Below are 17,906 nucleotides of genomic sequence, written 5' to 3' on the forward strand. Positions count from 1 at the left end.
TAAAGAGCAAGAAACTTAGAGTGCACCACGAACTGAAGTCCAACTCCACCAAGAAAATTCAGAATGTTTTCCTCCGTTACAAAGCTGGCTACGTGCTTTGGAGATGGAAGAACAAGCAGGGCTTCTATATTGGGATCAGCGGGCACTCCTGGAGTTTCCTGAGGCAAAGGATGAAGGAGACTTCCCAAGACCATATGGGGGTAACACAAGACAAGGCTTGAGTCCTGTCTACCAGGTCCTCTGAGAAGGACCTCAGCAGAAAGCAGCTGAGCACGTTCAGCTGGATACTCAGAGGCTGAGGAAGGATTTGAAAGAGACAAGCTGGAATAGAGATACATCCACTTGAGTCAAGGGAACTGCAGGAGAGCGGGCCTGCAGGGAGCCTCTCCAGCATTCCTATTCAAGGGCCAGAAGAGAAAGAATCAGCTTGAGCTATCGTCCAGGCCCCCTGGGGGTTACCAGCTTTAATCATCTGCAGCCCCAGAGAGCACGAAGCTACCAGATCAAGTAGTGACTCACTTACCCCTTTTTCCTCTCATCTCTACCCTACCTTCAACCCTGGAAGAGAAAGAAAATGACAGCTAGTGGGTAGAAGTGAGGGTGAGCAGGGAAGAAAAACCAGAGAAGCCATCAGAAGTTTCTTCCAGGGCTAGAGGAAGGCCCCTGAATAAAGTTTAAAGAGTTGGTGAGAAACAAATATAAAATCGCATTTTGATTAAATCATGAGTTGTGTTCATAGATGTCCACGTCATCCAGTGGCAGAACACCAAAATTATCACCTGTAGTGACACAGAATGAAGTGCCTATTGAAAGCAAGGCCCTGGGGGCTGCAGCGCGGGGATTATAAAGGCCACGAGGTGAGCAGTTACATCTAACTGCACGATGAAGTTTAAAGAAAAGAAATGGCATTTTCAGGGATTTAAATTCTCACTTCGAAGCATGGTCAGTGAATGAGAAAATTTCTGTGACTTCCTTCAAGTACTCTTTTATGTCATGCAGGTTCAAGGCTAATGAAGCTGAAAATCAGAGGCAGAGGCAGAGCCTGAAGATTGATGAATCTCAAAATTGACTGAATTCACAGTCCCGCTATGACTTTCTGGGCATTGATTGGGAAAAGGTGGTTTTTCCCCTGAGTATTGGAGTGGAAATATTTTGGAGGTGTTAGATAACGCCAAGAATCTGAAACCCCAGGACTCACAGAGCCTCGTAGGCCAATAAAATGAGAGCAGCCCTTCCTCCCTTTCTGATGAGGCTGGTCCTGTTTTATGCAGAGACCCTGTATCGAGCTCACTGAATGGTCACCTTGCAACGGGATGTGGCCCATGGGCCACGAGGACTCTGCTCATGGTCTCCAGATCCACAACTAGAGTCAGATTCTAGAATGTCCTGAAATCAAAACCAAACCTGGGAAGAGAAGACTTACGTACCAAAAGAATAGCAAGATTATGAAGAGGTTTACACTTCCTGCTTGGCTGTCTAAAAGTGAGACTCAATGGTGGCCTGTGCAGGAGAAGTCAGATGCCACACAATCCTTGATGCGCTGTGGAAAAAGGAACCCAAAGCCTTAGAGAGATACAAATGTTGGTGTATTAGTCCATTTTCACGCTACTATAAAGATACTACCGGAAACCGGGTAATTTATAAACAAAAGAGATTTAATTGACTCACAGTTCCACATGGCTGAAGAGGTCTCAGGAAACGTATAATCATGGTGGAAAGCAAAGGGGAAACAGGCACTTTCTTCACAAGGTAGCAAGAGAGAGAGAGCTCAGGGGAAACTGCCACTTTGCTTTTTTTTCTTTTTTGGGGGGGACAGAGTCTCGCTTTGTCACAGGCTGGAGTGCAATGGCACGATCTCGGCTCACTGCAACCTCTGCCTCCCGGGTTCAAGTGATTCTCCTGCCTCAGCCTCACAAGTAGCTGGGATTACAGGCACCGGCCACCATGCCCAGCTAATTGTTTGTATTTTAGTAGAGATGGGGTTTCACCATGTTGGCCAGGATAGTCTCGATCTCTTGACCTCGTGATCCACACGCCTCAGCCTCCCAAAGTACTGGGATTACAGGTGAGCCACCGCGCCCGGCAAAACTGCCACTTTTAAACCATCAGATCTCCTGAGAACTCACTCACTATGATGAGAACAGCATGAGGGAAACTGCCTGCATGATCCAATCACCTCCCACCAGGTCCCTTCTTCCATATGTGGGGATTACAATTTGAGATGAGATTTGAATGGGGACACAGAGCCAAACCTTCAGTTAGAGTGGATTTATAATCACTGATCTACTCACCCACCTTCAGAAAAAACACACATTGGTGAGAGAGGAGTTGGCATTCTTGAAAAGCGGATGCCCTCTGTAGGCCAGGGATGATGGTGAGAGATGCTTTGATGGAAAGAGGTTTCCTTGGGGGGCAAACATCAGCTTTAACCTTCAGGGGCAAGCACGTCCTGATTCCTGAAAAAAAGCAGAAGACTTAGATGAGATTATCAAAAGGATTTGACTCTAAGGGATATTTGAGGGTGCTTAATAGATCCTAGGGCCTTTGGGGCTGAAATACATGGACGCTAAAGTCTGACCTAATATGTATAACAACAAAATATAAGTCTGGGGAACAGAGGACTGACTAGTCGTGATGATGGCGAGTCCAGTCCTTCACCCAATGCCAGGCCTGAGTCACTTTCCAAACCCAGAGCCCTTTGAATAGCAGGGAGACAAGATGCTCTTGAGGAACAACCCAGCAATGACAGCACAGTGTGTACTGAAGTCTTCCTCCTATCCTTTCAGGAAGGCACTTGGGACAATTTACCAGGGCAATTGGACCCTGGGAAAAGGAACTCATAGACCTTTCAGGATGACTATCTTTTAACTAATGCTAATCCTGCAGGCCCCAAATGCCATCTGTGATTCTCTGGTAGGTGTATGGAATTTTATGGTAATAGCTGATAGCGGGGCTTACTCACAGCGGGGACTGTTCCCAGTGACCCCAGTGGGTCCTTGAACTCATAGTTATTTCCTCAGTTCTTGAGTGCTTAGTTGTAATCAAAGTACCGGCAGAATAGTCACACTGGCTCCCTGACCTGTGATGTGAATGTTATTACAGTTGGAAGTGTTAAGAGGAAGGCTCTGGAATGGTCCCTCCCTGCTGAAATAATAAACCAAATGCTTTGTGTCTATTAACTCATTGAATTTTCACAGCAACCCTATGATGTAGGAAATATGATCGTGCCCATTTACAGATGAGGAAACTGAGGCACAGAGAAGTTAAGCAATTTGCCCACGTTTACATGGCTGGTAAGAGTGAATTCAAATCCAGTCAAATTTTAGAGTCCACATACCAACCAAAAATCCTCAGTCAGGCTGGGCACAGTGGCTCATGCCTGTAATCCCAGCACTTTGGGAGGCTAAGGCAGGAGGACCGTTTGAGCCCAGGAGTTCAAGACCAGTAGGGGCAACACAGTGAGACCCTGTCTGAAAAAAAAAAATTAGCTGGGCACGGTGGTGCACGCCTGTAGTCTCAGCTACTCAGGAGGCTGAGGCAGAAGGATCACCTGAACCCAGGAGGTTGAGGCTACAGTGAGTTATAATTGTGCAACTGCACTCCAGCCTGGGTGACAGAGGGAGACATTGTCTCAGAAAAAAAGTCCGCAGTCAGCTGAGATGCTTGCTACAGGCAAAAGGGACATCAAAGGAGTGGTGGAGGAAAGATGTTATAAACACCAATTGCGCCCTTGTGAATATTGTAGAAACAAGGAATGAAGTAGCTATTCATGTTGAGTATAGTTAAGAGGCCCAGGAATAGAATTTGAAGTCAGACTGAATGGGTTCAGATCCCAGATTTACTGCTGAAGATGTTGAAAAATTTTCTTAACTTCTATTTGGCTCAATTTCCCCATAAGTTAAAAAAAAAAGTGGGGAGAAGGGAACACTGATAGTTCTTATTTAGTAGGCTTATTATAAGGATTAAATTAATTAACATTTATGTAAAGTGCCTGGAAGGCAGTGTTTGCTATTATTATCTTCCTTACTGTATCGAGTACATTTTGATGCAGTTAACTAATTTTCTATTTTATTTCTTTTTTTTTTGAGACAGAGTCTCGCTTTGTCGCCCGGGTTGCAGTGCAATGGCACCATCTCGGCTCCCTGCAACCTCTGCCTCCCGGGTTCAAGCAATTCCCCTGCCTCAGCCTCCTGAGTAGCTGGGACTACAGGCACCTGCCATCATGCCAGGCTAATTTTTGTATTTTTGTAGAGACGGGGTTTCACCATGTTGGCCAGCCTGATCTCTAACTCCCGACCTTAGGTGATCCACCCACCTTGGCCTCCCAAAGTGCTGGGATTACAGGCGTGAGCCGCTGCACCCAGCCTATTTTCTTATAGCTTTTCTCCTACTATTTTGTATAGTCTATGTCAACGATGGCCAAGTTTACAACTTAGTTCAGGGGTTATAGAATAACAAGATGGGCTGCTTCTTCTTCTTCTTCTTCCTTCTTCTTCTTCTTCTTCTTCTTCTTCTTCTTCTTCTTCTTCTTCTTCTTCTTCTTCTTCTTCTTCTTCTTCTTTCTTCTTCTTCTTCTGTTATTATTATTAATATTATTATTATTATTATTATTATTATTATTATTGAGACAGAGTCTTGCTCTGTTGCCCAGGCTGGAGTGCAGTGGGATCATAGCTCACTGCAGTCTCAAACTCCGGGGCTGAAGCAATCCTCCTGCCTCACCCTCCCGAGTAGCTGGGACTAAGGTGCACATCACCGTGAAGAGGGCTTATTATTAAACTTGAGGAGGAACAACCATCACTCAGAAGTCCTGGACTTGGAGAAAGATTCAGGAGCTGCTATGACTTCAGGTCTCTCCTTTAGGGAAGAGAGTGAACATGTTCTCATTTTTACAAGGGATAGTAACATCTCAAATTATAGAAAGTTATATGGCTTAAAGGTAGATTTTCTTTTTCTTTCTTTTTCTTTTTCTTTTTTTTTTTTTTGAGATGAAGTCTTGCTTTGTTACCCAGGCTGGAGTGCAGTGGTGCAATCTTGGCTCACTGCAACCTCTGCCTCCCAGGTTCAAGTGATTCTCCTGCCTCAGCCTCCTGAGTTGCTGGGACTACAGGTCTGCACCACCGCGCGCAGCTAATTTTTTGTGTGTATTTTTAGTAGAGACGGGGTTTCGCCATGTTGGCCAGGCTGGTCTCGAACTCCTGACCTCAAATATTCCACCTGCCTCGGCCTCCTAAAGTGCTAGGATTACTGGCATGACCCACTACACCCAGCCTTAAAGGTAGATTTGCTGTGGATGCTTTGCTTTTAAAAATTATGACTATGGTGAATGTTCATTAATATTCACCTATAGTTTATCCAATTAGTTACGATGCTGGTTACTGATGCTAATGCTGATAATAGCATCAGACTGTAGAGCTCATAGAATAATTATGTAATGTCATCTATTTCATTAAACTGTAAGCTCCATGAAGGTCAGGGTCTTTTCTCTCTTGTTTTCCATCATATACCCAGAGCTACTGCAGTGTGCTGCACACGGGATCTCTCAATACATATTAGAATAAATGACCCATTTATTTTGAGTATGACGATTGTATTAGTTACCTATTGATGGATAACAGATGACTACAAATTTAGCAGCTTAGAACAGCACGCATTTAATATCTTACCATTACTGTGGGTTTGGGTCAGGAGTCCAGGCATCCGTTTGTTGGGTCCTCTATTCCAGAGTCTCTTCTGAAAGCTGCAATCGCATTTCTGACCAAGACTGCAGTCTCATTCACACGGTTGTTGGCAGAATTCATTTCCTTGTGGGATGTTGGACTGAGGACCTCCGTTTTTTGCTGGCTGGCATTGAAGATTATCTTCAGTTCCTGCCACATAGGCCACTCCATAGAGCAGCTCAGAGCAGGGCACCTAGATCCATCAAAACCAGGAAGGAAGAATGTGTTAGCAAGAAGGATATTACAACCTTCTGTAACATACTAATGTACATGTAATCACATACATCGCATTATCTATCTACTAAAGGCAAGTGACAAGTCCCACCCACGCCCAAGGGGAGAGAATTACACGAGAGCGTGAGTACCAGGTGGCAGCGATCACTGGGGGCTGTCCTAGGATTCTGCCTCAAAATTCACCAAATACTCTCATCAGATCAGCTAACCCGGGGTTGTTCCCTAAGGAAGGCAGGATAGTTAACGTCTGCGAAATGGCAGTGAGTCCTCATTAGCTCAGCTCTCATTATCAAAGTCTTTGCGTTGCCAGGTTGCACAGGGAAGCGAAGGTCATCTTAAGATGAAAATATCACTAATATTATCAAATTAGTCCCCACTCTAGCAGACATTTCTCCTCTTAATGCTAGTTACATCCTTGTACATCCCATTTTTCCAGAGCAGCCGCATGCTAATTATATGAGTCTACAATGTAAATTCAATCAAACCAATTGCTCAGGTTCTTCAAAAGAAAATTATTTGAATATCAGGGGCTTTGGAGAGGCTTTTGAGGAAACTGATGAAATGCTCAAATAATTTTGCACGAATGATTTTTGTTTGAATCATGTTGGGAAATTTGAGTGTGGGAGATTATGTATCCTGCTATCATTTCATGTTTGGGAGAATACTATGAAAAAATTCCAGCAAAATATATATTTTTTTCATTCTAAGAAAATTACCTACATGCAAAACAACCTAAATAATTGAACCTTAAAAGTAATTTGGCCTGGCCAGGCGCAGTGGTTCACGCCTGTAATCCCAGCACTTTGGGAGGTCAAGGCGGGCGGATCACGAGCTCAGGAGATTGAGACCATCCTGGCTAACAGGGTGAAACCCCGTCTCTACTAAAAATACAAAACAATTAGCCAGGCGTGGTGGCAGGCATCTGTAGTCCCAGCTACTTGGGAGGCTGAGGTAGGAGAATGGTGTGAACCCGGGAGGCAGAGCTTGCAGTGAGCAGAGATCACACCACTGCACTCCAGTCTGGGCAACAGAGCAAGACTCCGTCTCAACACAAAACAAAACAAAACAAAAAAAGTAATTTGGCCGGGCACCGTGACTCACGCCTGTGATCCCAGCACTTTGGGAGGCCAAGGCAGGCAGATCACGAGGTCAGGAGATCAAGACCATCCTGGTCTTTAGCAGTGAAACCCCGTCTCTACTAAAAATACAAAAAAAAAAAAAAATTAGCCAGGTGTGGTGGTGGGCACCTGTAGTCCCAGCTACCCAGGAGGCTGAGGCAGGAGAATGGCATGAACCTGGGAGGCGGAGCTGCAGTGAGCAGAGATTGTGCCACTGCACTCCATCCTGGGCGACAGAGTGAGACTCCATCTCAAAAAATAAATAAATAAATAAATAAATAAATAAATAAATAAATAAAATAAAAAGTAATTTTAAAAATAACATAGTTTCATAGTTTTACTGTTTATTATAGTTTACTGTAAATTTTGGTCTCTTGTGAGTGGTGCTTTGATTCAAATCCTAGCTATGTCAGTTACTAGCTGTGTGATCTTGGACAAGTTATTTAACTTTCCTGTGCCTCATTTAACACATATATAACATGGGGATACCAATAATAATAGTATTTATAGCACTAACTACACCATTTGACTCTAGCAACAACCCTGTGAGGTCAGTGTTATGGCAGGTACCTTGGACAGAGTGACCTGTGGTTGGGATAAGATGACCAGATGTCCCATCTTAATCTCTAAAATATTAAGCCTTAGCATCATAAACCAGGACGCCCAAGTAATTAGGGAAGCTCAGAGGGTATCTGCAAGTTTTGGATAATTTCCTCATCCAAGTCTAACTGGTTTTGGAAAAAGTTCTGCCTAACTTGAATTCACCTAAAAGAGAAACCAAATGATATTCTCTCCCTCTCTTTCCTCTTCTTCAACTAAACCTTTCATTTCTTAGCTCTCCCCTGCTCCCAAACCCACCTCTTAAGTTCCTCCAGGGTGCTATCAAAGGTCTTTGAACAGTACCCTTAAATTCTCAGGAAAAGAGAAACAATCTAAATCAAAAAAGCAAATATACAAATATTGAACCACAACCACCTTCCAACTGTTTTGTTTGAACAGAGAGAGAAAAACCCAAAGCAAGACTCAGGAGTGTTAAAGTTCATTTTCAAAACACAGAACAAACAGCGTTCATTCTTAATAAGTCAACGGAGCGTAACAGAATTCAGAGGGACCAAGGAAAGGGTTACTGTACGACAGATCAGTGACACAAACATAAGCGGTGGAGTCCACAGAGGGGCAAACACAGGAGATTGAGCTGCTGCTTGGGGCAAGAAAGGCTCGTTGGAACTTGGGGTTCTGAGCATGAAACCTCGCATTCCCCATTCAAGCAAGTCACAACATCTCTGCTTCTTCAGATGTAGAGAATAACAAAATCCTTAGAGGCCAAGCTTGGGGAAAAGAAAAGAAATGGTGGTATGCAAGTAGTACTGAAGTAGTATTGCCTTTGGAAAGTAATAACTAAGGGAGAAAAGAAGCATGATTCCATAGTTGGTGCTGGATACAATCTGAAGCATCTAATAAATTTATGTCACTGTAGAAATTTCGATTCCACTTTGATGGAAATGAAAAGAAACTATAGGTAACATAACACATGGTATTTAATCATAAGGCTTGAAAGAGGATAATCTCCTTAACAAAAGCACATGGAGAATTCAAAACCATGGGGTGGTATTTCTCGTCTCAGTAAGATGAGAAAAGGGGATTGGAGAATATTTACACTTCCAGGAACCCCAGAAAAACAAGAACCAATAAATATTTTCTAGATGGGTCATAGATCTTAAGTTCAAAAAGTTCTTATTATCACTCATAACTCTGATCACTACCATTTCAATATTTAAGGGTAAAAAAACTCTCCAATATAACAGTTTATTACATATGTGTTTAAACTCTCTAATATATAACCTTTAATCTTGAGTCTATGATATCTACAAAGCTTGTAAACCATGTCCCCGTTATAAGTATTAGAGTGTTATTTGTAGGAAATTAGATTTCCTCACTGTCTTGGATCACATTGCCTAGAAGCAGAGCCTGAGACAGGGATTGGAGTGTGCATGATTTGAAGGAATGCAATCGGGAGAAAGGGAGTGAGAGAAGGAGAAGGCGGGAGAAGGGGCTCAGCAAAACTGGGGTCTCAAGCCTGGAGAGGAGCTTCAGCCTGATCCTGCGGCCAGCTCTGCAGCATAGATTACAACTCAGAATAGGTCCCACATTGAGGCCAGGCATGGCTGACGCCTGCAATCCCAACACTTTGGGAGGCCAAGGCAGGAGGATCGTTTGAGCTCAGGAGTTTGAGACCAGCCTGGACAACATAGTGAAACCCTGTCTCTACTAAAATTAGCTGGGCATGGTGGTGCACGCCTGTAGTACTAACTACTTGGGAGGCTGAGGTGGGAAGATCACTTGAGCCCTGAAGGTCGAGGCGGCAGTGAGCCATGATTGCACCACTGCATTCCAGGCTGGGTGACAGAGACCCTGTCTCAAAAAAAGAAAAAGGAATTGAAGAATTGACCCACACTGAAGCAAGGGGGCCAGCCTCAGAACCTCGGTCATTGGCTACTGCTTGTGACTGGGGAGGTAGTGTAATTTCTTTATTTGGGGTGAGGCAATTCTCGAAAGAAGGGGAAAGCTGTGAGTGCTCAGCAGCCAAAACTGCAGCACCTGAGGGTGGGTGCACCAGCCAGGTAGAAGGCACCTGGGGGCTGGGCGTGGTGGCTCACACTGTAATCCCAGCAGTTTAGGAGGCCTAGGCAGGTGAACCACTTGAAGTCAGGATTTCGAGACCAGCCTGGCCAACATGGTGAAACCCCATCTCTACTAAAAATACAAAAATTAGCCAGGCGTGGTGGTGTGCACCTGTAATCCCAGCTACTTCAGAGGCTGAAGCACGAGAATCACTTGAACCCAGGAGGCAGAGTTTGCAGTGAGCCGAGATTGTGCCACTGCACTCCAGCCTGGGAGACAGAGTGAGACTCTGTCTCAAAAGTAAAAAAAAAAAGGCCAAGCGCAATGGCTCACGCCTGTAATCCCAGCACTTTGTGGGGCTGAGGTGGGGTGGATCACCTGAGGTCAGGAGTTCGAGACCAGCCTGGCCAACATGGTGAAACCCTATCTCTACTAAAAATACAAAAATTAGCTGGGCGTGGTGGCAGGCGCCTGTAATCCCAGCTACTCGGGAGGCTGAGGCAGGAGAATCGCTTGAACCCGGGAGGCAGAGGTTGCAGTGAGCAGATATCGCACCATTGCACTCCAGCCTGGGTGACAAGAGTGAAACTCTGTCTCAAAAAAATAAAATAAAATAAAATAAAGGCACTGGGTCAGCACACCAACAGCACCCAGTGCACTCACTACAGCTGCAACACGAGCTCAGCCACCTGTGACAACTAAGCCACTATCTACAACCTCACCAGCCTGTGTCAAGGAATCTCACTACTATAAATATGGAAGAGAGGTTCTTGGTTGTCTGTCACCAGTGTTCGCTTTTCCCATTGAAGCCTGTTTGAAATAAATACTTTCTCTGGCAGATTCAAATATAAATACAATGGGAATTGTTATTTTTCCACAGCCACAGGCAAAACCAATTAAAGATGGATAAAAGTAAATAATGTTTAAAAAACAAACGTTAGAAGACTGGAAGAAAGTTGAATTGAATATTTATCATCATTCTCAAAGGTAGATGATTTTTCAAACCTAGAAGTAAGGAGGAAAAAATCATGAAGGTTTTATCGTATAAAAATGTAAAACTTCTGGCCGGGTGCAGTGGCCCATGCCAGTAATCCCAGCAATCTGGGAGGCCGAGGCAGGCGGATTACTTGAGGTCAGGAATTCAAGACCAGCCTGGTCAACATAGTGAAATCCTGTCTCTACTAAAAATACAAAAATTAGCTGGGCATGGTGGCAGACGCCTATAGTTCCAGCTACTCAGGAGGCTGAGGCAGGAGAATCTTTTGAACCAGGGAGGAGGAGGTTGCGGTGAGCCGAGATTGCACCACTGCACTCCAGCCTGGGTGACAGAGAGAGACTCTGTCTCAAAAAAAGACAAAAGTAAAACTTCTATCCACCAGGGAAAAAAAGAAAAAACAACAGTGCATTGACAAAATTAAAAGGTAAACAACAGTTAGCAAAGAATATTTCTGCAAATTTAGAAACAAAAATTCCTTGTCAAATCAAAGTTGCTTGTGTGTTGCAGATAGTGTTTTCACAGCATGCTCCTTGGCCATATTCCGGAGTAAAACCCCCACCCAACGAAAGAAATGTTCCTTTTTGAGCGCTGTCAGTGACTAGCTGTGACCTTGAGGAAGTTACTTAATTGCTCTATACCTCAGTTTCTTTATAATGAGGGGACAATAACAGTACCTGCCTCTTTTTTATCATGAGGGCTGCAAGAGCCACGGGTCCTACTAGGAATTAATTGTCCTTATTTATTTATTTTAGAAACAGGGTCTTGCTCTGTCACCTAGACTGGAGTGCAGTGGCCTGATCATGGCTCACTGCAGCTTTGAACTCCTAGGCTCAAGTGCTCCTCCCGCTTCAGCCTCCTGAGTAGCTGGGACTATAGGCACACGCCATCATGCTTGCCTAATTTTTTTTTCTTTTTTTGTAGAGATAGGGTCTCACTATATTGCCTAAGTTGGTCTAGAACTCCTGGGTTCAGGCAAGCTTCCCAGCTTGGCCTCCCAAAGTGCTGAGATTACAGGCATGAGCCACCATGCTCAGCCTAATTGTCTATACTTACAGAAAGAGGAAATCAAGAGTTAGAAAGAGAAAGGGGAGCTATGGTGGGTGACACAGGACAACTACTAGGGAGGAATACACAGAGATAGGGTTGACAGAGTTCAAGGAAGTATAGCCAGCCAGGTTCTACCATGCTCTGGCATGAAGCTATCCTTGGCAGAGGTAAAGACTTAGAACTTGGGTCAGGGAGTTGTCAGGTGACCCTTAACACTCCCCTTTATCTACTATGACAGAAACAAAATTAGTTTCTTCTTCATCTTCCTGGGCTTCTTGTAGTGGATGTGGTCATAAGACCAAGTTCTGGTCTATGGAATATGAGTGGAAGTGGTGGGTGCCATTGCTGGGCTGACATGCATTGTGTTCCTTCCTTTCCAACAGCTGGAAATTGGATCTAATGACTCAACCTGGACCTTGCAGAAGGCAAGAGGCCCGAAGACAGGGCAGAGCCACTAGATGGAAAGAGCTTGGGTCCCAGAATTACTCTGCGGAGCAGAACTGCCAACCAACCTGGAACACCCACACTGGCAGTTTTGTGAGCAAGAAATAAACTTCATTATTCCTTACAGCACTAAATTAACAGGTCTTGTTACAACAATTTAGTCTGCCCTAATACAGCAATGTTGAGCTAAGCCCGTTGATAAATGGCACTAAGATCCTTTCCTACAGAAACATCCAAAGCATTCCAGAAGTTACCCTACCAACAAACAGCAGGAGACAACACATTCCTGCTGAAAGCTACACATACAATTTAAAGTCTACTGCTAGGCTGGGCGCGGTGGCTCACATCTGTAATTCCAGCACTTTGGGAGGCCAACGCAGGCAGATCACAAGGTCAGGAATTAGAGACCAGGCTGACCAACATGGTGAAACCCCGTATCTACTAAAAAATATAAAAATTAGCTGGGCATGGTGGCGCGTGCCTGTAATCCCAGCTACTCAGGAGGCTGAGGCAGAAGAATCACTTGAACCTGGGAGGCAGAGGTTGCAGTGAGCCGACATCATGACATTGCACTCCAGCCTGGGTGACAGAGCAAGACTCCATCTCAAAAAATAATAATAATAAATAAAGGCTACTGCCAAAAGCACTTCCCTTTCCCCTCTTGGCCTAAAGTAGGGGTTGGCAAACTTTTTCTAGATATTGTACTTGGCTTTGTAGGCCATTTAGTTTTACAACTACTCAACTCTGCCAGGGCGCCGTGGCTTACGCCTGTAATCCCAGCACTTTGGGAGGCTGAGGCGGGTGCATCACTTGAGTCCAGGAGTTCAAGACCAGCCTGGCCAACATGGGAAACCCCTGTTCTCCAAAATTAAAAAAATTAAAAATAAATAAAAATAAAACTACTCAACTCTGCCACTTTGTTAGCACAAAAGCCACCGTAGGTAATACTGAAATGAGTGGGTGTGGCTCTGTTCCAACAAGTCATGATTTACAAGAACAGAGTGTAGGCTATTTTTGGCCTGCAGGCCATAGTTTGCTGACCCCTGGCCTACAAGGACCCCTGGAATGTCCACTGTTAGACAATCATTTGTTTGGCCTATATGTAGGAGGGTCTTGTTAAAATATAAACATTGGCAGCAAACCAAATTGTAAAAGTCTGCATGTTTTGTGTTCTAATGACAGCCTTATGTTGCACCTGATTTTCTTGAGAAAGCTACATTATAATAGGTTGACACTCCTGACCAAGGGTCTAAGGTTAAACTTTTATAAAAATTATAGCCATCATATTTAGTCAATTAACTTTATACCTGCCCAATGTAATGCTTTCTAAAATAGATAAGCATACTTTAACAGAAAAATATTGTGAACACTCATATCAATTTTTTCTGAGACAAGGTCTCACTCTGTATCCCAGGCTGGAGTGCAGTGGTATGATCTCAGCTCACTGCAGCCTCCACCTCCTGGGTTCAAGCGATTCTCCTGCCTCAGCCTCCCAAGTAGCTGGGACTACAGGAGCAGGCCACCACGCCCAGCTAATTTTTGTCTTTTTAGTAGAGATGGGGTTTCATCATGTTGGCCAGGCTGGTCTCAAACTCCTGACCTCAAATGATCCACCCACCTTGGCCTCCCAAAGTGCTGGGACTACAGGCGTGAGCCACCACACCCGGCCTCATATCAATTTTATTTAAGACATTTCTAGAGAAAGTTACGATTGATTGATCTGCTACCATGGTCCAGATGCTGAGTTAGGAGCTTTAAATACATCATCACAAAAACTCCTAAGGTGCCTCACAGAGGGAGAAATTGAAGCTTAGAGGGGTCAAGTAATTTGTCCAAGATAACCCAATCAACTGATAAATAACCCGCCAGACATGTTTAGTTTCAAAGCCTCTATTCTCATACCACAGCATCCTGCCCAGGAAAAAGAAGGGCATGGGTTGAAATTTTGATGGGAAACTAGAGGCTGGCTAGAAGAGGCTACATGAGTTCTGCTTCTCAAGGCATAGGTTTCTATGGTCAAAAGTATCAGGAGAAGAAGCTTGGCCACTGCGCATTTGTCAATGGCCATTCCATGAATAACTGGCATGTATTCCAAGTGGGAATTATTGTAAGTACATGTGAGTAGCCTACAAAGAGGAGATATGAAATTAATAAATTTACTGAGTACCTACCATGTGTCAGGCAGTGTTCTATATACTTTACACGGATTCTATCATGTAATCTTCACAGTAAGGTAAGTGCTATTATCATCTCCATTTTATAGTTAAGGAGACAGAAGCACAGGGGGATTAAAGTAATTTGTCCAAGGTCAAACAGAAAATGGAAAAGCTGGCCAGGCCGGCGGCTCGTGCCTATAATCCCAACACTTTGGAAGGCCAAGTTGGGTGGATCACCTGAGGTCAGGAGTTTGAGACCAGCCTGGCCAACATGGTGAAACCCTGTCTCTACTAAAAATACAAAAACTTAGCCAGGTGAGGTGGCAGGTGCCTGTAATCCCAGCTATTCAGGAGGCTGAAGCAGGAGAATCGCTTGAACCCGGGAGGCGGAGGTTGCAGTGAGCCGAGATTGCACCATTGCACTCCAGCCTGGGCAACAACAGCAAAACTCTGTCTCAACAACAACAAAAAAAGACAGAAAGAAAGAAAAGAAAAAGAAAATGGAAAAGCTAGGCTTGATCCTATCAGACCTCAAAGACCACATCTTCATGTCCTATGCTATACTGCTTCCTGAAACAGCAAATGGTAAAATTCTACCTTGTTATAATTATTCTTATCACCATCCCTGTTCATTTCTCTAAATAACTTATCACAACTTGCAATGATGTGTATTTTGTTTTCTTTCTTGTCTCTTTAAATAGTAAGTACCATGAGGGCAACCGTGTCTATTTTATCCACCAGTCTCATTCCTCATACAATGCCTGGCACCTTGCAAGTATTTGATAAATATTTATTAAATGAGTTCATGGGCCAACAGGGGAACTCATGATAGGATAATGTCTATGCAATGGAAAGTGGTTCTTTTCCTAGTAAAACTCAAAACAAATAAACAAACAAATCAGAGTTGGAACCCTTGTGTATGGCTACTAGGATTATGTGATGGTACAGATGGTATGGAAAACAGTTTGGTGGTTTCTCAAAGTTAAATACAGAATTACAATATAATCCAGCTAATACTAGTATATATGTAGTAAGTAATAGCATTTAGTACACGTACAGTAAATTACTGGTTTAAATATTAGTAATTATTATGTATTCCACTCCTAGGTATATACCCCATAAATTGAAAGCTGAGACTTAAGCAAATACTTGTACACAGAAATTCATAGTGGCATTATTTGCAATAGCCAAAAGATAGAAACAATGCAACTGTCTACCAATGAATGAATAAACAAAATCTGTTATATCATATGATAGAATATTATTATAGAAAGGAAATTCTGATACATGCTACCACATGGATTAACCTTGAAAACATTGTGCTAAGTGAAATAAGCCAGACACAGGACAAATATTATATGATTCCACTTACATGAAGTTCTTAGAATAAGCAAATTCACAGAGACAGAGCATAGAGTAGCGGTTACCAGAGGTTAGGAGCAGCGGGGATGAGGAGTAATGTCATGGGCACAGTGTTTCAGTTTGGGATGATGAGAAATCCTGGAAATGAACAGTGGTGATGGCTGCACAACATTATAACACTGTAAGTATACTTAAGGCTACTGAATTGTACACTTAAAAATGGTTAAAATGGGCCAGGCACGGTGGCTCATGCCTGTAGTCCTAGCACTTTGGGAGGCCGAGGCGGGTGGATCACCTGTGGTCAAGAGCTCGAGACCAGCCTGACAAATATGGTGAAACCCTGTCTCTACTAAAAATACAAAAATGAACTGGGTGTGGTGGCAGGCACCTATAATCCCAGCTACTTGGGAGGCTGAGGCAGGAGAATCACTTGAACCCAGGAGGCAGAGGTTGCAGTGAGCCAAGATCACGCCACTGCACTCCAGCCTGGGTGACAGAGCGAGACTCTGTCTTAAAAAAAAAAAATTGGTTAAAATGGGCCAGGTGCAATGGTTCACACCTGTAATCTCAGCACTTTGGGAGGCAGAGATCGGTGGATCACTTGAGCCCAGGAGTTCGAGACCAGCCCAGGCAACATGGCGAAACCCTGTCTCTGCAAAAAAAATACAAAAATTAGCCAGTTGTGCACGCCTGTAGTCCCAGCTACTCAGAAAGCTGAATTGGGAGGATCACTTGAGGCCAGGAAGCAGAGGTTGCAGTGAGCTGAGGTCACACCACTGCACTCCAGCCTGGGTGACAGAGTGACACTCTGTCTCAAAAAAAAAGTTAAAATGATAAATATTGTTATGTATATTCTACCAACATTTTTTTTGAAATAGGAAATATAAAACTGTTTCCACCAGCACATCACTCAGGTCAGAGAGAGCCACCAAGCAGCAGGCCTGCTAGGGGCACATGGATCTGAGAGAACAGCTGTCCTCAGGATAAGGGTGCTGGTGTCTGCAGAGCCCAAGGGGGCTGAATGATGGCAGTGAGTCTCTGGCAATACAGATGATACTGATTCTTCATAGAGTTAAACTCTGAGCCACGGTAGGCAGAGCCCAGCTCATGCTGGTCATTATGATAAAGTCCTGGGCGCAAGGAAGTGGGCACTCCACTGCAGAAAGAGTGGTGAACCTCAGACACCATGGAAAACAGAAGATTCACAAGACAGAATCCTGCTGCAAACATTTCCATAGGATGGGGACAGAAACATGTCTTTCAACTACCTGTGGTATCCACCAATCCTCTGATAAGAAAGGACTGAAGGCTCATGCCAGGGCCTACTGCACGCGACACAATGTTGTCCAAACAACAAGTGCCTGGGACTACTTACTGAACACTGCCCATAGCTCCAAGAAAAGTGTTACACATTTTTATCATTAATACTTTGGCATGAATTAGCTTGCTAAGCAGATAAGCAAGTTAATGACTTTCCAAGGCCCGAAGAAAGAAGATCCAGGTGAATAAGTTTTTGTTTTTTGTTTTTTGTTTTTGAGACGGAGTCTCACTCTGTCACCCAGGCTGGAGTGCAGTGGCGTGATCTCTGCTCACTGCAACCTCCGCCTCCCGAGTTCAAGCAATTCTCCGGCCGCAGCCTCTTGAGTAGCTGCGATTACAGGCACCCGCCACCAGGCCGGGCTAATTTTTGTATTTTTAGTAGAGATAAGGTTTCACCGCGTTGGCCAGGCTGGTCTCAAACTCCCAGCCTCAGGTGATTCGCCCGCCTCGTCCTCCCAAAGTGCTGGGATTACAGGCGTGAGCCTCCGTGCCTGGCCCCAGGTGAATAAGTTTTGTAGGAGACAGAGATAGTATTTAGGAAGAAGCAAGGGATAGAGCCTAAGTGGATAGCCAGAGTGAAGCCCAAGAGGGCTGGAGGCCGCAGGAGGGGAGGCTCTGAAATATCCAAAGGAAGCTCAGAGGGCACAAAAGAGAAGGTCTGGCTTCTTTCCAAACGTTAGTGTCCATGAAATGGAGCCATCTAACCTCCAGAGAGTAGCGAGAGCCTCTCATCAAATGCCCTTCCCTAGCTAAAGCAGGGGCCCTGGAGCCACAGTTACACTCAGGCAAGCTCATTCTCATTTTTAGGCCTTATTGATGTGTATAGGTAGCAATGATATGACAATGAGAGGAAAGACATTGGGACTTTGGAGCCAGTCTTCAGGAT

General features: G+C 44.2%; 1 long non-coding RNA gene across 2 annotated transcripts in view, besides 1 other annotated feature; it reads right to left on the reverse strand.

Annotated features, from left to right (window-relative positions):
• The window catches only part of LOC105369915 (uncharacterized), a 31,167-nt gene extending 25,259 nt beyond the window's left edge, over positions 1-5,908 (reverse strand). For both annotated transcript variants that reach the window (XR_001749264.2, XR_945226.2), the window contains exons 1-2: positions 5,667-5,908; positions 2,296-2,456 (exon numbers count right to left, since the gene is read on the reverse strand). This is a non-coding gene — a long non-coding RNA (uncharacterized LOC105369915). The remainder of the gene's footprint in view (positions 1-2,295; positions 2,457-5,666) is intronic.
• Positions 184-724: an enhancer, noted in NCBI's record as "NANOG hESC enhancer chr12:95316310-95316850 (GRCh37/hg19 assembly coordinates)". NCBI's record gives its function as "activates a minimal SCP1, AML or CMV promoter by ChIP-STARR-seq in naive H9 embryonic stem cells {active_cell/tissue: H9 hESC(naive)}" and the evidence as "EXISTENCE:reporter gene assay evidence [ECO:0000049][PMID:30033119]".
• Positions 5,909-17,906: the final 11,998 nt, after the last annotated feature.

The sequence above is a fragment of the Homo sapiens genome, chromosome 12 (genome assembly GCF_000001405.40).
Source record: "Homo sapiens chromosome 12, GRCh38.p14 Primary Assembly".
NCBI classification, from domain to species: Eukaryota; Metazoa; Chordata; class Mammalia; order Primates; family Hominidae; genus Homo; species Homo sapiens.